This window comes from Homo sapiens, chromosome 1 (genome assembly GCF_000001405.40).
Source record: "Homo sapiens chromosome 1, GRCh38.p14 Primary Assembly".
Lineage (NCBI taxonomy): Eukaryota > Metazoa > Chordata > Mammalia > Primates > Hominidae > Homo > Homo sapiens.
The window spans coordinates 113698073-113723192 of record NC_000001.11 but is presented as its reverse complement, the minus strand read 5'-3'; the positions used below and the strand labels follow the sequence as shown (position 1 = coordinate 113723192).

The following is a 25120-nucleotide window of genomic DNA, read 5'->3' as shown; positions in this document are numbered from 1 at the left end:
AAAAAAAAAAAAAAATGAGTTCACTGTAGATGTATGGATCTATTTCCGGATTCTCAATTCTGTTCCATTGGCCGATGTGTTTTTATGCCACTACCATGCTCCTTTGGTTACTATAGTGCTGTAGTACAATTTGAAGTCAGGTAATGTGATTCCTTCAGTTTTGTTGTTTTTACTTACGATAGCTTTGGTTATTTTGGGTCTTTTGTGATTCCATATAATTTTTATTTTTATTTATTTATTTATTTATTTATTTATTTATTTATTTATTTATTTGAGATGGAGTCTTCCTCTGTCATCCAGGCTGGAGTGCAATGGCGCGATCTCGGCTCACTGCAACCTCTGCCTCCCAGGTTCAAGCAATTCTGCCTCAGCCTCCCGAGTAGCTGGGATTACAGGCGCCTGCCACCACGCCTGGCTAATTTTTTTTTTTTTTTGTATTTTTAGTAGAGATGGGGTTTCACCATGTTGGCCAGGCTGGTCTCAAACTCCTGACCTCAGGTGATCTGCCCACCTTGGCCTTCCAAAGTGCTGGGATTACAGGTGTGAGCCACCATGCCTGGCCAATTCCATGTAAATTTTAGGATTGTTTTTTCTATTTTTGTGAAGAATGTCATTGTTATTTTTATAGGGATTGCATTGAATCTGTAGATTGCTTTGGTTAATATGGATATTTTTAACAATAGTCATTCTTCCAGTTCATAAACTATGGAATATCTTTCCATATTTTTTGCATTCTCTTCAATTTCTTTTTTTTGAGACAGAGTCTCGCTCTATCGCCAAAGCTAGAGTGCAGTGGCATGATCTCGGCTCACTGCAAGCTCCACCTCCTGGGTTCATGCCATTCTCCTGCCTCAGCCTCCAGAGGAGCTGGGACTACAGGCACCCGCCACCGTGCCCGGCTAATTTTTTGTATTTTTAGTAGAGATGGGGTTTCACCATGGTCTCGATCTCCTGACCTCGTGATCCGCCCGTCTTGGTTTCCCAAAGTGGTGGGATTACAGGCGTGACCCACTGCGCCCGGCTGCGTTCTCTTCAATTTCTTACATCTATGTTTTATAGTTTTCATTATAGAGATCTTTCACTTCTTTGGTTAATTGCTAGGTGTTTAATTTTATTTGAAACTATTAGAAATCGTGTAACTTTCTTGATTTCTTTTTTAGATTGTTTGCTGTTGGCATATAGAAATGCTATTGATTTTTGGCTGGGCGCAGTGGCTCACGCCTGTAATCCCAGCACTTTGGGAGGCCAAGGCGGGCGGATCACGAGGTCAGGAGGTTGAGACCATCCTGGTTAACATGGTGAAACCCTGTCTCTACTAAAAATACAAAAAAAAAAATTAGCCGGGCGTGGTGGCGGGCACCTGTAGTCCCAGCTACTTGGGAGGCTGAGACAGCAGAATGGCATGAATCCGGGAGGTGGAGCTTGCAGTGAGCCAAGATCACACCACTGCACTCCAGCCTGGGCGACAGAGCAAGACTCTGTCTCAAAAAAAAGAAATGCTATTGATTTTTATGTCAATTTTGTATCCTGCAACTTTAATGAATTTGTTTATCAGTTCTGATAGTTTTTTGGTGGAATCTGTAGGTTTTTCCAAATATAAGATCTTATTATCTGTAAACAAAGGTAATTTGAATTCTTCTTTTCCAATTTGTAGGCCTTTCATTTCTGTCTCTTGTCTGATTGCTCTAGCTAGGACTTCTAGTACTATGTTGAATAACAGTGATGAAAGTGGGCATCTTTGTCATTTTCCAGATCTTAGAGGAAAGGCTTTCAGTTTTTCCTCATTCAGTATGATACCAGCTGTGGGTCTGTTATGTGACTTGACTTTTATTGTTTTGAGGTATGTTCCTTCTATACCCTGATTTTTGAGAATTCTTATCATGCAGGGATATTGAATGTTATCAAATGCTTTTTCATCATCATTTGAAATGATTATATGGTTTTTTTCCTTCATTCTTTTGGTATGATGTGTCACGTTAATTGATTTGTATGTATGTTGAACCATCCTTGCATCCCTGGTATAACCCTACTTGGTCGTGATGAATGATCTTTTTATTTATTTATTTTATCTTATTGTTACTAATATTTGAGACAGAGCCTCAGTCTGTTGCCCAGGCTTGAGTGCAGTGGCATGATCTTGGCTCACTGCAAACTCTGCTTCCCAGTTCAAGTGATTCTTGTGTGTGAGTCCCCCATGTAGCTGGGACCACAGGCATGTGCCACCACATCCCTCCCTCCCTAATTTTTTGTATTTTTTTGTAGAGGTGCACAGAAGTCAAGTATTGAGATTTGAGAACCTCTGCCTAGATTTCACAGGTTGTATGGAAATGCTTGGATGTCCAGGCAGATGTTTGCTGCCGGGGCAGGGCACTCATGGTGAACCTTTGCTAGGGCAGTGTGGAAGGGAAATGTGGGGTGGGCACCCGCACATAGAGTTCTCACTGGGGCACTTCCTAGTGGAGCTGTGAGAAGAGGGCCACTGTCCTCAAGACCCCAGAATGGTAGATCCACCAATAGCTTGCATTGTGCACCTGGAAAAGCCGTAGACACTCAACACCAGCCCATGAAAGCAGCCAGGAGGGAGGCTGTACCCTCCCGGTGATACTTGATATCATTTTAATTTTCTGGAATGTTTTAAGACTTGTTTTTTGGCTATAATATGGTATATCCCTGAAAATGATTCATGCACTGAGGAGAAAAATGTGTATTCTATAGCCAGTAGGTAAAATGTTTAGTAAATGTCTGTCAGGTCTGTTTGGTCTGTAGTGTAGATTAAGTCCAATTTTTTTTGTTGGTTTTTCTATTTGGATGATCTGTCTAATGCTGAAAATGAGGTTGAAGTCTCCAGCTATTATTGTATTGGAGTCTGTCTCTCTCTTTAACTCTAATAATATTTGCTTTATGTATCTGGGTGCTTCAGTGTTGGGTGCATATATATTTACAATTGTTTGTCCTCTTGCTGCATTGACCCCTTTATCATTATATAATGACCTTTAACTCTTTTTATAGTTAAAGTCTATTTTGACCAATATAAGTATAGCTACTTGATATGGTTTGGCTGTGTCCCCACCCAAATATCAACTTGAATTGTATCTCCCAGAATTCCCACGTATTGCAGGAGGGAGCCAGGGGGAGGTAATTGAATCATGGGGCTGGTCTTTCCTGTGCTAGTCTCGTGATAGTGAATAAGTCTCACAAGATCTGATGGGTTTATCAGGAGTTTCTGCTTTTGCTTCTTCTTTCTCTTGCCGCCACCATCTAAGAAGTGCCTTTCACCTCCTGCTGTGATTCTGAAGCCTCCCCAGCCTTGTGGAACTGTAAGTCCAATTAAACCTCTTCTTCTTCTCAGTCTCAGGTATGTCTTTATCAACAGCATGAAAATGAACTAATACAGTAAATTGGTACCAGTAGAGTGGGGTGTTGCTGAAAAGATACCTGAAAATATGGAAACAACTTTGGAACTGGGTAACAGGCAGAGGTTGGAACAGTTTGGAGCGCTCAGAAGAAGACAGGAAAATGTGGGAAGTTTGGAACCTCCTAGAGATTTGTTGAATGGCTTTGACAGCAATGCTGATAGTGATATGAACAATAAGGTCTAGGCTGAGGTGGTAACAGATGGAGATGAGGAACTTGTTGGGAACTGAAGCAAAGGTGACTCTTGTTATGTTTTAGCAAAGAGACTGGTGGCATTTTGCCCCTCCCTTAGAGATTTGTGGAACTTTGAACTTAAGAGAGATGATTTAGGGTATCTGGCGGAAAAAATTTCTAAGTAGCAAAGCATTAAAGAGGTGATTTGGGTGTGGTTAAAGGCAATCAGTTTTATAAGGGAAGCAGAGCATAAAAGTTTGGAAAATTTGTGCCCTGACTATGCGATAGAAAAGAAAAACCCAGGCCAGGCGTGGTGGCTCACGCCTGTAATCCCAGCACTTTGGGAGGCTGAGGTGGGTGGATCACCTGAGGTCAGTAGTTTAAGACCAATCTGGCCAACATGGTGAAACCCCATCTCTACTAAAAAAATACAAAAATTAACCAGGCATGATGGTGGGTACTTGTAATCCCAGCTACCTGGGAGGCTGAGGCAGGGGAATTGCTTGAACCCAAGAGGTGGCATTTGCAGTGAGCTGAGATCACGCCACTGCACTCCAGCCTGGGTGACAGAACGAGACTCTGTCTCAAAAGAAAAAAAAAAAGAAGAAAAGAAAAACCCATTTTCTGGGGAGAAATTCAAACTGGCTGCAGAAATTTGCATAAGTAGCAAGGAGCCTAACATTAATACCCAAGCAATGGGGAAAATGTTTCCAGGACATGTCAGACACTTTCATGGCAGCCCCTCCCTTCACAGGCCTGGAGGCCTAGGAGGAAAAAGTGGTTTCGTGGGCCGGACCCAGGGTCCCCATGCTGTGTGCAGCCTTGGGACTTGGTGTCCCATGTCCCAGTTGCTCCAGCCATGGCTGAAAGGGGCCAATGTACAGCTCAGGCTGTGGCTTCAGAGGGTGGACGCTCCAAACCTTGGCAGCTTCTACGTGGTATCGAGCCTGCAGGTGCACAGAAGTCAAGAATTGAGGTTTGGGAACCTCTGCCTAGATTTCAGAAGATGGATGCCCAGGCAATAGTTTTGCTGCAGGGGCAGGGCACTCATGGAGAACCTCTGTGAGGGTAGTGTGGAAGGGAAAAGGTGGGGTCGGAGCCCCCACACAGCGTCCCTACTGGGGCACCACCTAGTGGAGCTGTGAGAAGGCCACCATCCTCCAGACCCCAGAATGGTAGATCCACCAACAGCTTGCACTGTGCTCCTGGCAAAGCCTCAGACACTCAACACCAGCCTGTGAAAGCAGCCAGGAGGGAGGCTTTACCCTGCAAAGCCATAAGGACAGAGCTGCCCAAGACCATGTGAACCCACCTTTTGCATCAGCGTGACCTGGATGTGTGAGACCTGGAGTCAAAGGAGATCATTTTGGAGCTTTAAAATTTGACTCCCCCACTGGATTTCAGACTTGCAAGGGCCCTGTAACCCCTTTGTTTTGGCCAATTTCTCCCATTTTGAACGTGTGTATTTACCCAATACTTGTATCCTCATTGTATCTAGAAAGTAACTAGCTTGCTTTTGATTTTACAGGCTCATAGGTGGAAGGGACTTGCCTTGTTTCAGATGAGATTTTGGATGCTGGACTTTTGGGTTAATGTTGAAATAAGACTTTGGGGGAGTATTGGGAAGGCATGATTGGTTTTGAAATGTGAGGACATGAGGTTTGTAGAGGCAAGGAGCAGAATGATATGGTTTGGCTGTGTCCCCACCCAAATCTCAACTTGAATTGTATCTCCCAGAATTCCAGTGGGTTGTGGGAGGGGCCCAGGGGGAGGTAATTGAATCATGGGGGCTGGTCTTTCCCATGCTATTCTCGTGATAGTGAATAAGTCTCACGAGATCTGATGGGTTTATCAGGGGTTTCCGCTTTTGCTTCTTCCTCATTTTCTCTTGCCCGCCACCATGTAAGAAGTGCCTTTTACCTCCCGCCATGATTCTCAGGGGCCTCCCCAGCCATGTGGAACTGTAAGTCCAGTTAAATCTCTTTATCTTCCCAATCTCGGGTATGTTTTCATCAGCAGCATGAAAATGAACTAATACACTACTCCTGCTAATTTTTAGTTTCTATTGGGATGGAATATCTTTTTCCATCCCCTTATTTTCAGCCTGTGTGTATCTTTTATAAAGTTTGTTTCTTGTAGGTAACAGATCATGGATTTTGTTTTTTTAATGCATTAAGCCACTCTATGTCTTTTGATTAGAAAGTTTAGTTCATTTACATTCCATGCCATTATTGATAAGTAAGGACTTACTCCTGCCACTTTGTTAGTTGTTTTCTGGTTCATTTGTGATCTCTTCTTTCTTTCCTTCCTATCTTCCTCTTAGTGAAGGTGATTTTCTCTAGGGGTATTTTAAAATTTATTTCTTTTTATTTTTTATGCATCTTTTATTATTTTTTTAATTTGGGGGTTACATTGAGGCTTGCAAATAATATTTTATAACCTATTTTTTTAAACTGGTAACACTGATTGCATAAACAAGCAAACAAACTCATAAACCAGCAAAGAGAAAAGTAATAAAAACTGTACACTTTCACTCTGTCCCCTTGCTTTTTAACTTTTTGTTGTTTGTATTTATATCTTATTATACTGTCTATGTCTTGAAATGTTGTATTCTTTTAAGTTGGTTCATCTTTTAGTCTTCCTATTGAAGATATGAGTCGTTTACACATAACAATTACAGGGTTATAATATTCTGTCTTTTTTGTGTATTTACTATTACTAATGAGTTTTGTACCTTCAGATGATTGCTTATTGCTCATTAATGTCATTTCTTTCAATTTGAAGAACTCTCTTTTGCATTTCTTGTAGGCAGGTCTGTTGTTGATGAAATCCTTCAGCTTTTGTTTTTTTCTGGGGATGTCTTTATTTTTACTTCTTGTTTGAAGTTTATTTTTGTTGGGTATAGTATTGTAGGACAAAAAGGTTTTTCATTTAGCAGTTTAAATATGTCAGACCGGCTGGACATAGTGGCTCAGGCCTATAATCCCAGCACTTTGGGAGGTCAAGATGGGAGGATTGCTTGAGGCCAGAAGTTCAAGACCAACCTGGGCAACATTAGGGAGACCCAGTCTCTACAAAAATAAAAATAAAAAATCAGCTGGATGTGGTGACCTGTGCCTGTGGTTCCAGCTATGCTGGAGGTTGAGACAAGAAGATCGCCTGAGCCCAGGACGTTGAGGCAGTAGTGAGCTGTAATTGTGACAGTGAACTCCAGCCTGGGCAACTGAGATCCCCATCTCAAAAAAAAAAAAAAAAAAAAAAAGGGAAAAATAAGTAAGTAAATAAATATGTCATACCACTCTCTCCTAGCCTGTAAAGTTTGCACTGAGAAGTCTGCTGCCAGAAATATTGGAGTATCTTTGTATGCTATTTGTTTCCTTTCTCTTGCTGCTTTTAGGATCCTTTCTTTATCTTTGATCTTTGAGGGTTTGATTGTTAAATGCCTTGAGGTAATCTTCTTTGTGTTAAATCTGTTTGGTATTGTATGACCTTCTTGTACTTGAATATTGGTATCTTACTCTAGATTTGGGAAGTTTCCTGTTATTATCCCTTTGAATAAACTTTATACTCCTGTCTCTCTCTCTACCGCCTCTTTAAGGTCAGTAACTCTTAGATTTGCTGTTTTGAGGCTATTTTCCAGATCTTTTAGGTGTGTTTCATTCTTTTTTATTCTTTTTCTTTTGTCTCCTCTGTGTCTTTTTAAATATACTGTCTTGAAGCTCACTAATTCTTTCTTCTGCTTGATCAATTCTGCTGTTAAGAGACTCTGATGCATTTCTTCAGTATGTCAGTTGCATTTTTCAGCTCCAGAATTTGTTTGATTTTTTTTTTTTAGTTATTTCACTCTCTCTGTTAAATTTATCTGATAGGATTCTGAATTCCTTCTGTGTATTCTTGAATTTGTTTGAGTTTCCTCAAAATAGCTTTTTTTTTTTTTTTTTTTTTTTTTTTTTTTTGAGACAGGGTTTCACTGTCATTGCTCAGGTTGAAGTGCAATGGTACAATCTCGGCTCACTGCAAACTCCACCTCCTAGGCTCAAGTGATCCTCCTGCCTCAGCCTTCCAAGTAGCTGGGACTACAGGCACATGCCATTGCACCCAGCTAATTTTTGTAAAGACGAGGTTTTGCCATGTTGCCCAGGCTGGTTTTGAACTCCTTAGCTCAACTGATCCACCTGTCCCTTGGCCTCCCAAACTGCTGGGATTACAGGCATAAGCCACTGTGCCTGGCTAAAAATAGCTATTTTGAATTTTCTGTCTCTAAGGTTGTATATTTCTGTCTCTCTGGAATTGGTCACTGGTATCTTATTAGATATTGGTGAGGTCATGTTTTCTTCGATGGTCTTGATGCTTGTGGATGTTCATTAGTGTCTGTGCATTGAATGGTTAGATGTTTATTGTAGTCTTCACAGTCTGGGCTTCTTTGTACCTGTCCTTCTTGGGAAGGCTTTCCAAGTATTTGAGGGGAATTGGGCATTGTGATCTAAGTCTTTGGTCACTGCAGCTGTATCTGCATTAGGGGGCACCCTAAGCCCAGTAATGTTGTGGCTCCTGCAGACTTGTAGAGGTTACTGCCTTGGTGGTCTTGGGTCAGATCTGGGAGAATTCTCTGGATTACCAGGGAGAGACTCTTGTTCTCTTCCCTAACTTTCTCCCAAACAAATGGAGTCTCTTTCTCTCTGTGCTGAGCTGCTTGGAGCCAGGAGGAGTGACACAGCACCCCTGTGGCCATTAATACTGGGACTGGCCTGGGTCAGGTCTGAAGCCAGCACAGCACTGGGTCTTGCCCAAGGTCCACATGGTGACCACTTGCCTGTCTACCACCTATGTTTACTCAAAGCCCAAGGGCACTACAATCAGCAGGTGGCAAATCCAGCCAGGCTTATGTCCTTCCTTTTAGGGCAGCCAGTTACCCTAGCTCTGGGCAGATCCAGAGACGCTATCAGGGCCTGGCGTTGAGAACCTTAGGAATCTTCCTGTCATTCTATTCTACAGCAGCTGAGCTCACACCCAAACCAAAAGACAAACTCCTTCTCATTCTTCTCTCCCGTTTCCTCAAGCAGAGGAATCTCTCCCCATGGCCACCGCTGCCCCAGGCCTGCAGCAAGTACTGCAAGGCTGTTGCTGATATTCACTCAAGGTCCAAGGGCTCTTTGGTCAGCTTGTGGTCAATGCTGATAGGCCTGGGTATCTCCCTTCAGGGCAACGGGCTCCCCTCTGGCCCAGAGTGCGTCCAGAAATACCATCCAGGAGCCAAGGCCTAGAATCAGGGACCTCAAGAGCACACTTGGTGTTCTACCCCACTGTGGTTGAGCTTGTACCCTGCCTGTAAGACAGAGTCCCCTTTACTCTTCCCTCTCTTTTCCTCAAGCAGAAAGAGTCTCTCCCTGTAGCCACCACAGCTGGGAATATACTGGGTCCCTCCTGAGGCCAGCATGGCTCTGAGTCTCACCCAATGCCCACAGTGAGTACTGCCTGGCTACCACTGTTGATTATACAGAGCCCAAGGGCTCTTTGGTCAGCAGGTGATGACTCCTGCCAGGACTGGATCCTTCCCTTCAAATGTGCTGGTTGCATTTTGGTCCAAGGTGTGTCTAGAAATGTCATCCATAAGCTAGGTCCTGGAATGGGGGCCTCAGGACTCTGGTCCCTTGTTCTACTCTGGCTGAGCTGGTATCCAAGTTGCAAGACAAAGTCCTTTTTACTCTTCTGTCTCTTCCTGGGCTGTGAACAACACTGCCTGGCTTTGCAGTAAGGGTGGCAAAAATGCACTCCCTGGCCACCCAGCTGGTGTCTCAATAGGTCATGTGCACCTAAGTCTACTGGGCTAGTGGAGTGGCAATAACAGACGATATAAGGTAGGAGTTGCATTGTGTCTGAGAAGATGTGGAGAGGACTGTGAACCTACTTTTGTGCAACACTGAAAAGTATATGCTTCCTTTCAGTTAATTGACATGAGTCTTTGAAGAATAGACTCACATTCTGAGTCTGTGAGTGAGTATTTTGTCATTCTACACCCTTACTTAGCAAGCTAAAGTCCTGAAAAATATGATTCCTGCATTTTCTTGATTTCCAGAATAATATAGCGTATTCCTTAAAAGAAAGTGGTTTCATGAAAGGTGTTACTTTCAAAAAATTAATCTTCTTTTCCTTTTTTAAAAAATAGGATTAAAAGAGTAAAATTAATATCTAACAAAGGGACTGAAACTGACAATGACCCAAGTTGTGTCCATCCTATCATTAAGAGGAGACAATGTCGACCAGAGATTAGAATGTGGCAAACAAGAGAGAAAGCAAAATTTTCAGATGGAGAAAAGTGCCGTAGGGTAAGATTTAGATGGATTTAACAAGGGGTTTTTTTCCCCATGTAACATTTTCCTATTAAGATTCTGTTAGAGATATAAAATAGGTACTAGTAGGTTTATAAATTTGTCCTAACAAGTAAAACCACAGGATATGAAAAGAAGATACCACATGAAGACTGGAACTTAGTCTTAAAATTTATAGTACTGGACTTGTTATTAATTTTGCGAGTTCTGTAATCCTAGCACTTTGGGAGGCCGAGACAGGCGGATCACGAGGTCAGGAGATCGAGATCATCTTGGCTAACACGGTGAAACCCCGTTTCTACTAAAAATACAAAAAATTAGCCGGGCGTGTTGGCGGGCGCCTGTAGTCCCAGCTACTTGGGAGGCTGAGGCAGGAGAATGGCATGGCATGAACCTGGGAGGTGGAGCTTGCAGTGAGCCGAGATCGCGCCACTGCACTCCAACCTGGGAGACACAGCGAGACTCCGTCTCAAAAAAAAAAAAAAAAAAAATTTTGTGAGTTATCCAGCCTTAGCAGTAGGCTGGTAGATTTAATAAACAGATTAGTGAAGAGGGTGCTGGGTCATATTCCAGAGAAGCAGTGATAGTATAGTAAGAGTTTGGGAAATTATTTTGTAGGTTTAAGTAGACATGGTCTGCTCTATGTCTAAAACTAGCTACACACTTTTATAGTCTTAAACTGTTTTCTTATTGGTTAGATTGTGGCATTTAGTCTAAGAATTATTGAGCCGTTACTATAACCAGGCATTGTTCTGAGTACTTTACGTATACTAACTTATCTCATTTATTTTCAACAAACCTGTGAAATAGATGCTTTTATTATAATTTCTTTTTAGATGAGGGAACTCAGCTCCAAACAGATTTAGTAAATTGCTCAAGGTTATGTATCTAGTAAGTAGAAGAGCTGTGATTCAGGCTTAGAGTTTGACTTGAGTCTTGGTTTTTGAATACTACATAACACTGCCTCTTCATTTAGGATATTTAGTTTCAACTAAATATTTTTCTTAATTGAGATTAAGTAATATATGGATTTGTTCAGTTTTGGGTTAGTTTACTTTTGCTGCTTGGTAGTTTTTGTATGATTTTTTTTTGTTTTTACACATGCAGCTTATTAGAATATTTTGGGCTGTCCCCTGTGAAGGTATTGCTGTTCTCTTTGTAGGAGGCTTTTAGGCGTTTGGGTAATGGGGTGTCTGATGACCTGTCAAGTGAAGAAGATGGTGAAGCACGGACACAGATGATATTATTGCGTAGGAGTGTGGAAGGGGCCTCAAGTGACAATGGTTGTGAAGTTAAGAATAGAAAATCAATACTTTCAAGGCACCTAAACTCTCAGGTAATTTCTATTTTAGTTTATGAAAGTATAGGACTGAATCATTGAAGTTAGTAACAAAGCATTTAACATATTTTCCTATTGCTTGTTGGTTTGATTTTTGGCAGGTAAAGAAAACCACTACAAGGTGGTGTCATATTGTGCGGGATTCAGATAGTCTGGCTGAATCAGAATTTGAATCAGCAGCCTTCAGCCAGGTAAAGTATCCCTTTGAGAAATCAAGGTATATTTTTGAGGGTAATAACTTTATCCATTCCTTTTTTTATTGGTTGCCCTAAAGTAGCATTTACATTAATATTTGCCAGCCCTTCCCTGTCTCCAATTACCCATCTCCTTATCTAGCAGCTTTTAATGACTACACACCTAGAAAGAATATTTTCCTACATTGACCCTAAGCTTAAAAGTATCACAGATGATGCCCAGCAGGAGGTTACTTAATCCCTAAATAATGAGATTATTAAATATTCACTTGGCATATGAAGTTTATTTTTAAACATCATAAATTGGATTGATGCTGATGAAGACAGATTTTTGAGAAAGGAGTTCTGAAAGATGGGAGTAGTAAATCTCATCATGAGAGCTAAAGGGCATATTATATTATTTGGAAAATTGTAACTCAGAGGTGAGCAGAGTAGATGGTGGTGGTGTGGTTTTTTCTTTTATTTTGATTAATAAGGCAATTGTGGTCATGGAATAACTTTCATATTTATGTTGGTACTTTTCTTTGACTGATTATCCTTTAACGTTTTGGAGCTGAATCCTGTTCACGAGTAGGTCTGTAGTCAAGTTCACAATATTTAGAGTTGGGGTCACTTTGTGTGTGTCAAAAAGCTCAGCTAAGCCAATTGAGTGGGTCATCTTGGTGTGCTTACAGGAATCACTCCCCTCCCAGAACACCTTAGTTGATCAGTTCCATAACATGGCAGTAGCTTCTTAGAGGGAGTACTGCTTGCTAGAGACATCAGAGTTTAACATTTAAATATTAAAATCTATTATTGGCTGGACATGGTGGCTCATGCCTGTAATCTCAGCACTTTGAGAGGTTGAGGTTGTTGGATAGCTTGAGACCAGGAGTCGGAGACCAGCCTGGGCAACAAAATGAGACCACATCTTTACAAAAAAAAAAAAAAAATATATATATATATATATATCCGGGTGTGATGGTATGCACCTGTAGTGCCAGCTACTCAGGAGGCTGAGGCAGGAGGATCATTTGAGCCCGAGTTTGAGGTTGCAGTGGGCTATGATCATGCCACTGCACTCCAGCCTGGGTGACAGAGCGCGACCCTGTATCAAAAAATAAAAAAGCATTATTGTTACGTGAAGCCCTGTGAAAAAATGAATTCATGGTGATTGACTTCTGAAGGCTTTCAAGCCATTGCTGTAGATAAGTTGTTTTAATTTTATTTCACATGTAATTATTTTTAAAGATGAATAACATTTTTTGCTTTTTGTTTTCCTTTAAAGGGCTCTAGATCGGGTGTGAGTGGTGGCTCTCGAAGCCTCAACATGTCAAGAAGAGACTCAGAAAGCACCCGCCATGACTCGGAGACTGAGGACATGTTATGGGACGACCTGCTACATGGCCCAGAGTGCCGGTCATCTGTCACCAGTGACAGTGAGGGGGCCCATGTGAATACCCTTCACTCAGGGACCAAACGTGACCCCAAAGAGGATGTTTTTCAGCAGGTCTGTGCAGACATGATAAGAATAGCTAGTATTTATTGTGTTCTTACTGTGTGTCAGGCACTCTGTCATCTCATTTAACTTTACAATCATCCTGTAGGGTAGATACTATTATTATCCCCAGTTTAGAGGTGAGGAAACTGAGCATAGTCTATAAGTGAAGATGTTGGGATTAGAACTCAGGGAGAAGTAATCTAGAGTTGCCCTAACCTAAATTTTTCTGTATATTACTTTTTCTTATTATTTTCCTTAGAATGGTCCTTTATGTGTATTTTATATTTTATATGAGTAGAGTTTGCATATAGAGAATATACCTTATATTTTCATGAACATCACAGTGTTACATATGAATTACTAGGAAATGGTATTGCTTGCTTTTTGAACAATGCATAAAATAAATAATGCTTTTAATTTCAGGTTTTATATTAATATCATAAAGTCAGATAGCCATTAGAAGGTATTTCAACCTTCCAACCAATGTAGAGATTCATTCTACATCTGTGTAAATTTTTTACCATCTGTTATGTGGTGATAATAGTTCTTACTTCTTAGGAATAGTGTGAAATAGCTAATGAGATAATATAAAGTACATAGCATAATACCTGGCAAGAGTAAATACCCAATAAATGTTAGCATTATTATTTATATCTCCATCAGATGATCAATTGGCCTCTTAAATACTTCTGGAGCTGGAATGCTTGTTATTTAATGATACAGCTTATTCCACTTCTGGATAGATTGAATGATGAAGAAATAGTTCACTTATCAACCTTTCAGTTGCTTAATGTCAATGATTGTTATGATTCTTAGGTTTTTGTTCTTTAGGCTAAATATTTCCACATTGTCTTGCAAATAGTGGATGATGGATATATATTTGTTTAATTGTCAAATATTCTTGATTCAAAAATACCATTGATTTAGGTTATACATTTTCATTTAAAAAATCGCTTCATTAAATGTATATAATTTTTAAAAAATGAACAAGAAACAGTGTAAATTTTCTCATTAAAGTTTTCTTTTTTGGGACAGAGCTCACTCTGTTGCCCAGGCTGGAGTGCAGTGGTGCAATCATGACTCACGGCAGCCTTAACCTCTCCAGCTCAAGTGATCCTCCCACCTCAGCCTCCTGATTAGCCACCATGCTTGGCTAATTTTTAAATTTTTTGTAGAGACAGGGTCGCACTATGTTGCTTAGGCTGGTCTTAACTCCTGGGTTCAAACAGTCCTCCCACCTTAGCCTCCCAAAGTGTTGGGATTACAGGGGTGAGTCACCATACCTGGCTCTCATTAAAATTTTATGCTACTTTTTCTGATTTTGCAGTGAGGCTAAATATTTTTTGCATTCAGTCTGAAGATTCATCTAAATTACATTAGTTTTCAGTAGTTATGCATAGTATCACGATGATGTTGATCTCCGTAGCACTCCCCTCCTTTGAGATTTGCAGTATAATTTTAAGACATATATAAGAATAATTGAGTGTGGTAAACTCACCATGTCAAATGCAATAAATCATTTTCCAATCCTGTTCACGTAGCCTATTCTTTTATTCCCTGTATTTCTTAATACCACACTACCCACCCAAGTCAAAAAGCTTGAAGTCATTCTTGACCCCATTTTTTTTTTTAGATGGAGTCTTACTCTGTCACCCAGGCTGGAGTACACTGGCACAATTTTAGCTCATTGCAACCTCCGCCTTCCAGGCTCAAGTGATTCTCCTGCCTCAGCCTCCTGAGTAGCTAGGATTACAGGTGCCTGCCGCCTGCCACCACACCTGGCTAATTTTTGTATTTTTAGTAGAGATGGGGTTTCGCTGTGTTGGCCAGGCTGGTCTCGAACTCCTGACCTCAAGTGATCCACTCACCTCGGCCTCCGAAAGTACTGGGACTACAGGCGTGAGCCACCGCGCCCAGCTGGCCCCATTCTTTCCACCCTTAGTCGCTTATGTTCTTTTGATTCAGCTGTCTAAATACCTGCATCTCTCTGTTTCTGGTCACCCTGCTTGGTGCAGGCCATCATTTTATCTCAACTGGATCATTACAGTAGCTTCTGTAGGGTTGCCTCTGTTCCTTTCATTTTCCTTGCTACAGCCAGAGTGATAATTCTAAAATACAAATCTGATAATGCCACTTCCTTTAAAATCCTTTTTTCTTCTTTCTGGATTGCTTGCTTCTGTTCCTTTATTTGTTCTAATACAGTCTCATCTCTGACCATTCCCTCCCTCCTCCTCACATGGTGAACTTCGACTCAACTAACCTTCTTTGTTTCTGATGTGTACCAGGCCTCATGTGCCTCTGGGCCCTTATGCATACAGGTTTCTTTGCCTGGGACATAATTTTCTCTAATGCCAATTCTTTTGGTTCATTCCTTTTTATTTCCAGGCAGGTCTTGGCTTGAGTGATGCTTCCTTCAGGAAGCCTTTCTTATATACTCCTAAAGCACTCTTGCCTTTCCTTACCATGCTGTATAGTAACTTCCTTCAGAAGTCTATAAGCTCCTTGATAGCAAGGACATCTATCTTGTTCTCCATTTTATCCACATGCATGATACATAGTAGGTGCTTAATATGAATTGTATAAGTCAGTGAATCAATCAAGTCAGTGATTCAAATCAATAAATACTTGTTGGCATTATGCTAAGCATGGTGGTAGAAGAGAAAAAATATGCCAGATGGTCCTTTTCTAGAAGATTATCTTTTAGTTTGGGAACAAGATAATTATATAGGAAACAAATAGAGGACAACATAAAAGCACCATATAATAAGATGTTAATTTGTCTGATACAGACTGTAGAAGTTTTTCATTTCAGAGAAGGGCAAAGTTAGTAAGACTGAGGCTGTCAGAGAGGACCATGTTGGTGAAATGGGACTTGAGCTAGTATTTAAAGAATAAGACATGATATGGCAGAGGAGGAGAGGGAGCTGTTTTCATTGTGACTGTCTCCACTTGAGCTTTTCTAAGCCTCACTAATTTTGTGTCCTGGTTAGACCAGAAACAGACTTAACTCCTCAGTCATTCATGTGATTTATAAGGCCTTTTAGTATCTCTCTTCCTTTACTTCCTATTACTCCCAGTGTAATCTCGTAGCTCTAGAAATTCTTTCTTAATAGCCCATGACTACACTAAGCTTATCCTCACTTCCATACCTTTAGAGAGGGAAGCAACCTTGGAGATCATGGACTATCTCTCCTCATAACAGAAGACATTTAGTCTCTCTCTAGATGAGAGAATGGCTTAGTAAGGAAAAATGGACCTAGCGAGCCATGGTGGTATGTGCCTATGGTCCTTGCTACACAGAAGGCTGTATAGAGGGAGGCAGATGGGAGGATTGCTTGGGCCCAGGAGTTTGAGACCAGCCTGGGCAACATAGTGATACCCTGTCTCAAAAAAAAAAAAAAAAAAAAAAAAGAAAGAAAGAAAGGACCAGCATTATAGAGGTGGTTATTAGAGTGTTGGCAAATGAATGGAGCCTGGGAAAGAAAAACTAATGGAGGCAAGAGGGCATGGATAGAAACAATTTTATATTTTTCTTCTCAGAATCATTTATTCTGGCTTCAGAATTCAAGTCCTTCCTCTGATCGAGTTAGTGCAATAATCTGGGAGGGGAATGAGTGCAAAAAGATGGATATGTCTGTGTTGGAAATAAGTGGCATCATCATGAGCAGGGTAAGACTGAATATGTTTTCAGATTTTTCAAAAAATATACGAAGTGATCAGGAGCTATTTTATAAGAATCTCTTAGTGATTAAAACAGTATGACTCTGCTTTTGAAGCACATATATATCATATTATATATAATAACATTATTAACATATATATGTAATTTTGTAGTCAGAGTCTTTACATGGTAGTATATACATTATTTGTTATACCTGGTCTCTATTAACATAATCAACTGTTCAGGTATGCTCTACAGATATTCCTTATCTCATTGAATCCCAATTTTTAATAAGATTTGAAAGTCATAAATCTGTATGTCATTTGTATTTATACTTTTAGAATGTGTTTTTAATAGTCTAAATAGTGTTTGATAAATACTGCTTTGTAACTCCATTTAGCTAACACAATAATGGTGGAAATTTTAAATTAATTCACAGGTCAATGCCTATCAGCAAGGAGTAGGTTATCAGATGCTGGGAAATGTTGTCACTATTGGATTAGCATTTTTTCCATTCTTACATCGACTTTTCCGTGAGAAGAGCCTTGACCAACTAAAGTCCATTTCAGCTGAGGAGATCTTGACTCTCTTTTGTGGGGCACCACCTGTTACACCTATTATTGTTTTGTCGATAATTAATTTTTTTGAAAGATTGTGTCTTACTTGGATGTTTTTTTTCATGATGTGTGTGGCAGAGAGAACATATAAACAGGTCAGTGGAGAAATAAGGAAAATTTTTTACCTGTTTTTGTATATGATATTCCATTGAGTTGCTTTTGTTCTCTTGATTTGGTCTCTCTTCAAGTTGATGTGGGCAATAAAGGATTGATAAGTGGACTTTTGATATTTGTGGATTTATTGTTTGTGTTATTGACTATTTACATATTACACGTTGTAATCTGAAATTTTGCCAGGCCTCATGTGTAGAATAAGTGGCTTAGCCAGTGAGTGAGCCTAGCCGACTGCTTAGCATCTGCACCTCAGTGTCCCTTTTTTGTTTTTTATCCATAGAATAAAATAATTATCTACATGTGATAATGTTTTTGTGAAAAATGGCCAAGTGAGAAATAAATTTATTGAAATTTGATAAAAATTATGGATGGAGGGTTTAAAATATTGGTGATATGCAGAAGAAGTGTGATTTATTTTATTTTATTTTTTGAGACCGGGTGTTGTTCTATTGCCCAGGTTGGAGTGTAGTGGTGTGATCACGGCTCACTCCAGCCTTGACCTCCTGAGGATCAAGCAGTCCTTCCAGCTCAGCCTCCCCAGTAGCTGGGACTACAGGCCTGCGCCACCACACCCGACTAATTTTTTGTATTTTTGTAGAGGTGAGGTCTTACTTTGTTGCCCAGTCTTGTCTCGAACTCCAGGGCTCAAGTTATCCGCCCGTCTTTCCTCCCAAAGTGCTGGGATTACAGGGCGTGAGCCACCATGCCCAGCCCCAGAAATGTGATTTTGAATGGAAATTTAATTTGAGAATAAGCCAGAATCATGTATAAACATTTGAGTTTGTGAAGTAGTGGATCCATAAATGCCAACCATTCTTTGGGGGTCTCCAAAGAATATTCCTTGCAAATGTTGAGTGTACCACATTGTGAAGAAGTATGTTACTATGTAATGTGCTTTGGAAACAACAGGGTAACGAGCTATTAATGAAAATTTTCACTGCCCATCTTACTGAACACTGATTAGAACTTCATTCTTTTTAATATTTTTGTATTCTGGGAATATCGTTGGCAATTATATGAATACACAGACACATACATACATTTCACTGTGATTTTTTTTAAATCTCTTCTAGAGATTTTTATTTGCAAAACTCTTCAGCCATATTACTTCTGCCAGGAAAGCTAGGAAATATGAAATACCTCATTTCAGACTTAAGAAGGTGGAGAATATTAAAATATGGTTATCACTGCGTTCCTATCTAAAGGTGAGTTTTATTTGATTAACAATAGAGTATGTGCAAGAATATGCTCACTGAAGCTCCTGGCAGCAGTTACTCAGTAGACAGTGTAGTTCTGGGTGTCAGGCAGATTATAGCAGCAGCTGACAGACTTGCTGGACAGCAAGTTGGATGTCATCTCTCTGCAAAGCTGGTAGGGGTAGGTAAAGAAGAGCTTAGAAAGGGAAAAGAAAATCTAAATTTCCTAGGGGCAAAGTGACAATTAAATAGTTTATATTTTTCTGGCTTTTTTGGGAAATACTCCAGCCGAAAGTATGTCAATGAATCAGTCACCCTTAATTTGGAAATGCATGGATTTCAGTACTTAAAGTTGATGACGTCCAAAATATGTTAAAATCCTATCTCAGAAACTTCTTATAAACATTATTTTCACACGAATGTAGTACAATTCAGAGTGTTAATAATGTGAGGGCGGTTGCTGTCTGCCAGTAACTAAAACATTAACACATGTGTCTCACTCCACAGAGACGGGGGCCACAGCGTTCAGTTGATGTGGTTGTATCCTCGGTTTTCCTACTGACACTTTCGATTGCTTTCATTTGTTGTGCTCAGGTAAAAGTTTCACATCTGCTTTAAGGAAAAATGAAAATTCTATTATAGAGTTCACTTTCTGTTTTAGACTTAGGTCACTGTCCTTAAGTATGTATTTTTAATGCATCTACATTTTTTACTATTTTGGATGTTTGGTAATTTTTCTAACTTTTCAAAATGGGAATACAAGTAATTCTGAAGTCCTTTCAAACTGTAAGATCGCTCTAATTTTAGTTGGTAATTATTAATTGATAATAAAACTATCATATGGTTGCAAAATAACTGATTTTCTGACTACATTATTCCTTCTGTATTTATTAGTTATCACTCCAAGGTAGATCTTTCATTTCTTTCCCTCTTATTTATTCATTCATTTATTTATTATACTGTGGAATCATGTATTCTCATTTTTATACAGTGGGTTAAAATCTGTTACTATAGGCTGGGCATAGCAGCTTAACACCTGTAATCCCAGCACTTTGGGAGGCTAATGTGGGAGGATTGTGTGAGGCCAGGAGTTGAAGACCAACCTGGGCAACATAATGAGGACCCATCTCCATGAAAAAAAAAGAAAAAAACAACAAAAAAAACCTGTTACTATATTTGCTTTGCTGCCTACATTGTCCTAAATTTGGCCAGTGGGAGCCCCTAGAAACCCCCTCCTGTACCCTTTTGACAGGGTCTGCTTTTTGTAAAGCACTTCCGTGCTTTCTGCATTAAAAGAAGTTACAGGTTTATCTTATATTTTTTGAATTTTATTGAATTTTAATGTAATTCTACTGTGGTCAAAGCATACTCTGAATATTTTCAGTCCTTTGAAATATGTAGAGGTTTACTTTGTTATCCAGCATACATTCAGTTTTATTAAATTTTCCATTAGCACATTGACAAGATTTGTATTCTGTCATTGTTGAGAGCAGTGTCCTTTATGTGTCAAATTACCTACATCCTTACTGAATTTTTTGGTCTGCTTATTCTGTCAGCCATTGGTGGAGGTGTGTTTAAGTCTGATTGTGGATTTGTCTGTGTTTCCTCTTCTGTCAGTTTTTGCTTTATGTGTAACTGGGTACATCCAGATTTAGCTTTGTTATCCATCTTTTTGGGCAGTTGACTTTTATGTCCTTTATAGTGATTTATTTATTTTTTCTGAATCCAGGATCCAATTCAGAATTACATATTGCATGTAATTGTCATGTCTCTTTAGTCTCCTTTAATCTGGAAAAATGTCAGGCTTTGCCTTTCATGACCCTACAAAATGTCTCTATTTGTAATGTTTCTTATTGATTTGATGTTAATTTCATTGCACCAGCTGTCTTGATTCATTTCTACATGTTATATCTTTGTCTACCTGTTTTTATTCTTTTGTTCTCATATTTTAGGTGTGTCTCTCATAATCAGCATTTCCTCTTATGGTTGCTTGGTGTTTGTTCATTCGTTCTTCTTCTTCCTTTTTTTTCTGGTAGCCGGGACTACAAGCACATGCCACCTAGCCTGGCTAATTTTTAAATTTTTCATAGAAGTGGAGTCTGGCTTTGTTCCCCAGGCTGGCCTCGAACTCCTGGCTTCAAGGGATCCTCCTGCTTCGGCCTCCAAGAGTGCTGGGATTACAGGCATGAGACACTGTGCCCAGTTGGTTGCTTTTTTTTTTAATCCATCCTCACAGTCTTAGATTTTGGAGTGTCTGGCCCATTTAAACTTAATGTTATTACTGTAACCACAAATATATTTGGTTCTTACTTTTTCTACCTGCTAATTTTCCTTTTTCATTCCTCTTGTCATCTTTTTATTAACCAAATATTTTTAAATATTCCACCTAATCCTATTAACTTGTTATATGTTCTTTTGTTGTAAGTAGTAAAGAGATTACAACATGCATGCTTAATTTTTTATAGTCTAATAAACTGATTAATTTATCACTCTCTTGATAATGCTAGGCCCTTAGAACAGTTTATCCCATTTACCTCTTCACCTTTTGTATTATTGTCCTTCACCTTAATTTTACATATATTTTAAAACCGCAAGATGTAATTATTATTGTTTTGTGTAATTAATCATATTTACTCACATATTTACCTTTTCCATTGCTTTTTATTTCCTGAATTTCTGTGTTTCTCTCTGGGATTATTTTCCTTCTACCTGAGTAACTCCTTTAGTATTTATTTTAGTGCCAGTCTGCTGGTGATGAATTCCCTCAGTTTTTGCTTGTTTGAAAATATATTTTATCACTTTCACTTCTGAATGATTTTTTTTTTTTTTTTTTTTTTTTTTTTTTTTTACCAGGAATTGAATTCCAGGTTGCCAGTTATTTCCTTTCAGCACTTTTAGGATTCTATTGCTTTCTGATTTCCACATTTTATCTTGAGAAGTCTGCTGCTAGGGTGCCATGACAAGCCAAAGCTAATATGAGTCAAACTCAGTGGGGAGGCAGAAAACAAAGGTCTTGTAAGGCAATGGAGCTGGCTAAGAGGAGTGGAGATGGGAGCCTACGTAGCCCTGGGGGAAGCGAGATGGAGAGGGCAGCTGCTTGGTGACTTCCTGTTTTTCACCAGGTTTCTGTGAGCATTATCTGTATGTTTTTCAGTAAATTCCATCTTACTTTGGGCTTGAGTAAATTTCTTTACTTTTAAATCAACAAATTTAAAAACAAAAACAAAAACCTTTTACCGGAAAATTTGACACATAATAGGCACTCAATAAATGGTAGTTGCTGCTGCTATTGTTATTTGGAGCCTAAAACAGAATAAAGAACTGATCCTTAGGATTTTCTAGTCATACCAGTGGAATGAGCCACATGTTTTAGGGAGCTCACTTGACATAAAGCAAAGTTATTACTTTGAATAATGGTTGCCATATAGTTGTGAGTGGACACACTGATAGTTAAAGTAGCTGCAAATGCATTTGTCTTATTTTATTTGTGGTATTTTCCTTCTTTGTTACTTCTAGACCCTTGCTAAAGGAGAAAATCTAGAAAACTTAGAGAAATATATAGTGATTAAATAAATAGGTAATAGTTAATGAGTATTAAAGCTCTTCTGCTTTCAGTATTAAAATATTGGATTTTTGGAAATGTTCTTAAATTGACAGAGTAAAAGAGTAATTACATGATTTTAAGGTAAATGAAAAACTTAACTTTTTTTTGATCCTTTGTATAGGTTCTCCAAGGACATAAAACTTTCCTGAATGATGCTTATAACTGGGAGTTTTTGATCTGGGAAACAGCTTTACTACTTTTTTTATTGCGTCTGGCCTCACTGGGGTCTGAAACCAATAAGAAATACAGCAATGTTTCAATATTACTTACAGAACAGGTATTGATCAGTCCTGTCAATTGGGTTTAGTGGTTAGGGGTAGCGTAATACGCTGTAAGGTTCCTGCAGAGGATTCAGGGTTTAATCACTGTCTAGCTGTCACTTTCTAGCTACAGGACCTCACAAGTCAGTTTGCTGCTCTGTAGTTGCTTATCCCTAATAAAATGGATGTAATATCTCCTCCTGCTCTGTGAGAATTAAGATCTAATGGATTGAAAAGACTTTGTATACTATGGAGAGATTTTTATTGGTGGTAATGGAGCATGCTTTTAATCTCATATTCTATGTCAAGTATTAGATCTTTAGAGTACTTGTCATTTAGCATGTATAATAAGCTTCTTGAATTCTTCTGTATTAGACATAGAATACATTATTCAGTGTTTGGAAGATACTTGGTTTTCAGTATGTGAATAGACACTAAGATTGAGAAATATCTCTTGTAAATACAGAGTAGTATAAAGTTTTTTTAATTTTGTTTTTAATTTCAAGTTTTTCCATAAACTTTGAATAAAAACATTTATCATTCGTTTCTGTTTTTTTTTTGTCTTAGAATCGTAATGGAGAATTCTTCCTACAAGGCAAAATATAAGGAATTAGTAAAGTAAAAGGAGCTATCTTCTTCTGTTCCATAAATGTTTAATGAGGATGTTAGATTATCTAGGGGGATAGTGAGATGAATAAGATAGAGGTTTTGAACTCAAGGTGCTTACGTGCTAATTATGTTATGTTGCAAGTAATATTAAAATTTTTCATTGTTTTGATATTTAAATTGCTTCATCATTAATTTTTCATCACTAAATAGTTTTTCTTTGCCAGAGGGAGACTGATCAGGAATGGGGGCTAGAGCACATGACATATGTTCTCTGTAGCGATAGCTATTGGAATTTCAAAATTTATTTTACTTGAAAACATGACCTTTGAAATATGCCAGATTTTATGCAGTATATATATTTTTTTCCAAGAAATTTACCTTAATTTCTATTCCTTCCCTTAGATTAATTTATATCTTAAGATGGAAAAAAAGCCAAATAAGAAAGAACAGCTTACTCTAGTAAACAATGTATTAAAGCTGTCCACCAAGTTGTTGAAAGTAAGTCATAGGCTATGATACACTTTTACTATCATTTGAGTTAAATCAGTCTTTTCTCTAAGAAAACATTAAATGGCAGATGATACCTTGGGTTGGGAGGGGTCCTGGAAGTGGACTCTTCCACAGTGGCATCAGGGGTAGGGGTCACAGTGGTGGTTAGGACCAGAGCTGAGGTCACAGAGCTCCTGGAGGCAAGATTAAGGACAAAGAGTGGCTCCCCATCACCAAGTTGGGCCATCTGGTCAAGGACATGAAGATCAAGTCCCTGGAGGAGATCTGCCTCTTCTCTGTGCATCAAGGACCAGGTTCAAGGCATTTGTCACCATTGAGGACTACAACGGCTATGTTGGTCTGGGTGTTAGTGCTCCAAGGAGGTAGCCAGCACCATCCATGGGGCTATAATCATGGTCAAGCTCTTTATCCTCCCTGTGTGAGGAGACTACTGGGGGAACAAGATTAGCAAGCCTCACACTCACACTACCTACCCTTGCAAGGTGACTGGCAGCCTGCATCTCTGTGCTGGTGGCCTCATCCCTGCCTCCAGGGGCGTTGGTACTGTCTTGGCCCCTGTGCCCAGGAACCTGCTGCTGATGGTGGTTACCCACCACTGCTGCACTTTGACTGGGGACTGCGCTGCTACCCTGGCCAATTTTGCCAAGGGCACCTTTGATGCCATCTCCAAGACCTACAGCTATTTCACCCCCAACCTCTGGTAAGAGACATGTTCACCAAGTCTCCCTATCAGGAATTTAGTGACCATGGCCTAAAGACCCATACCAGACTCTCCATGTAGAGGACCCAAGCTCTAGCTATGGCCACCATGTGGTGGTTTTATACCAGAAAAATAAAGTGAGTTAACCTGTTTTAAATACATTAATTAATGTTTTACTTCTCAGAACCCAGTAAGAGATAGATGCTAGGCTGTGTAGATTCAAAATGCTGACCTGATGGTTTTGGGTTAATAACTACTGTGAAAAAATTTCCAATTTTGTTACCCAGGTTCTGATGATTGCTGATGTCTGTCATATTTTATATATGTGTGTATGTGTGTGTGTGTGTGTGTGTGTGTGTGTGTGTGTGTGTATATATATATATAAAACTACAAATGACATATTGCTCAAATCCACCTAAAAAAATCTTAGTTAGTAGAAAAGTAGGTGAGAACACGTTATGGATTTTTTGAAGGTAGCTCTTTGAATATTAAGGAAAGACAGCCTTAAGCATTCATCTATACCCAAGACAAAACACAGCAAGAAGTCACTGAGTAGCTATGAGAAAACATGTATCTCATTTCAATTCTTTGATGTTTTTTGTAGGAGCTGGACACACCATTTAGACTCTATGGACTGACAATGAATCCCTTAATCTACAATATCACAAGAGTAGTTATCCTTTCTGCTGTCTCAGGTGTTATAAGTGATCTTCTAGGATTTAATATAAGAGTAAGTATCACCACCACTCTGTAGCATCCTAGTCTTAAAAATTACTATGTACAGAAATCTGTGTTCTTCACACGTGTGTGTGTGTGTGTGTGTGTGTGTGTGTGTGTGTTTCTAGCATGCAAATAACTCTTGAGGTAAAGAAATAGGCATTTTGATTGGTGGTCCACAGGCTTTTCAGCTTCAGTTTTC

The 25120-nt window shown here is 39.3% G+C and overlaps 1 protein-coding gene and 1 pseudogene across 19 annotated transcripts in view; both read left to right on the top strand.

Annotated features, from left to right (window-relative positions):
* PHTF1 (putative homeodomain transcription factor 1) overlaps positions 1 to 25120 on the top strand; it is a 63058-nt gene that overhangs the window by 36696 nt on the left and 1242 nt on the right. For 6 of the 19 annotated variants that reach the window (NM_001323042.2, NM_001323043.2, NM_001323045.2 and 3 more), the window contains 11 exons: positions 9755 to 9914; positions 11080 to 11253; positions 11358 to 11447; positions 12718 to 12939; positions 16471 to 16599; positions 17031 to 17303; positions 18396 to 18527; positions 19026 to 19112; positions 22244 to 22399; positions 23394 to 23489; positions 24806 to 24931. In NM_001323042.2, the coding sequence (NP_001309971.1) occupies positions 9755 to 9914; positions 11080 to 11253; positions 11358 to 11447; positions 12718 to 12939; positions 16471 to 16599; positions 17031 to 17303; positions 18396 to 18527; positions 19026 to 19112; positions 22244 to 22399; positions 23394 to 23489; positions 24806 to 24931 (1645 nt within the window). Of the gene's footprint in view, positions 1 to 9754; positions 9915 to 11079; positions 11254 to 11357; positions 11448 to 12717; positions 12940 to 16470; positions 16600 to 17030; positions 17429 to 18395; positions 18528 to 19025; positions 19374 to 22243; positions 22400 to 22949; positions 23001 to 23393; positions 23490 to 24805; positions 24932 to 25120 lie in introns of those variants that run through there. The other 13 variants (NM_001323048.2, NM_001323050.2, NM_001323047.2 and 10 more) reach the window with 6 other exon arrangements.
* RPS2P14 (ribosomal protein S2 pseudogene 14) lies at positions 23587 to 24309 on the top strand (annotated as a pseudogene).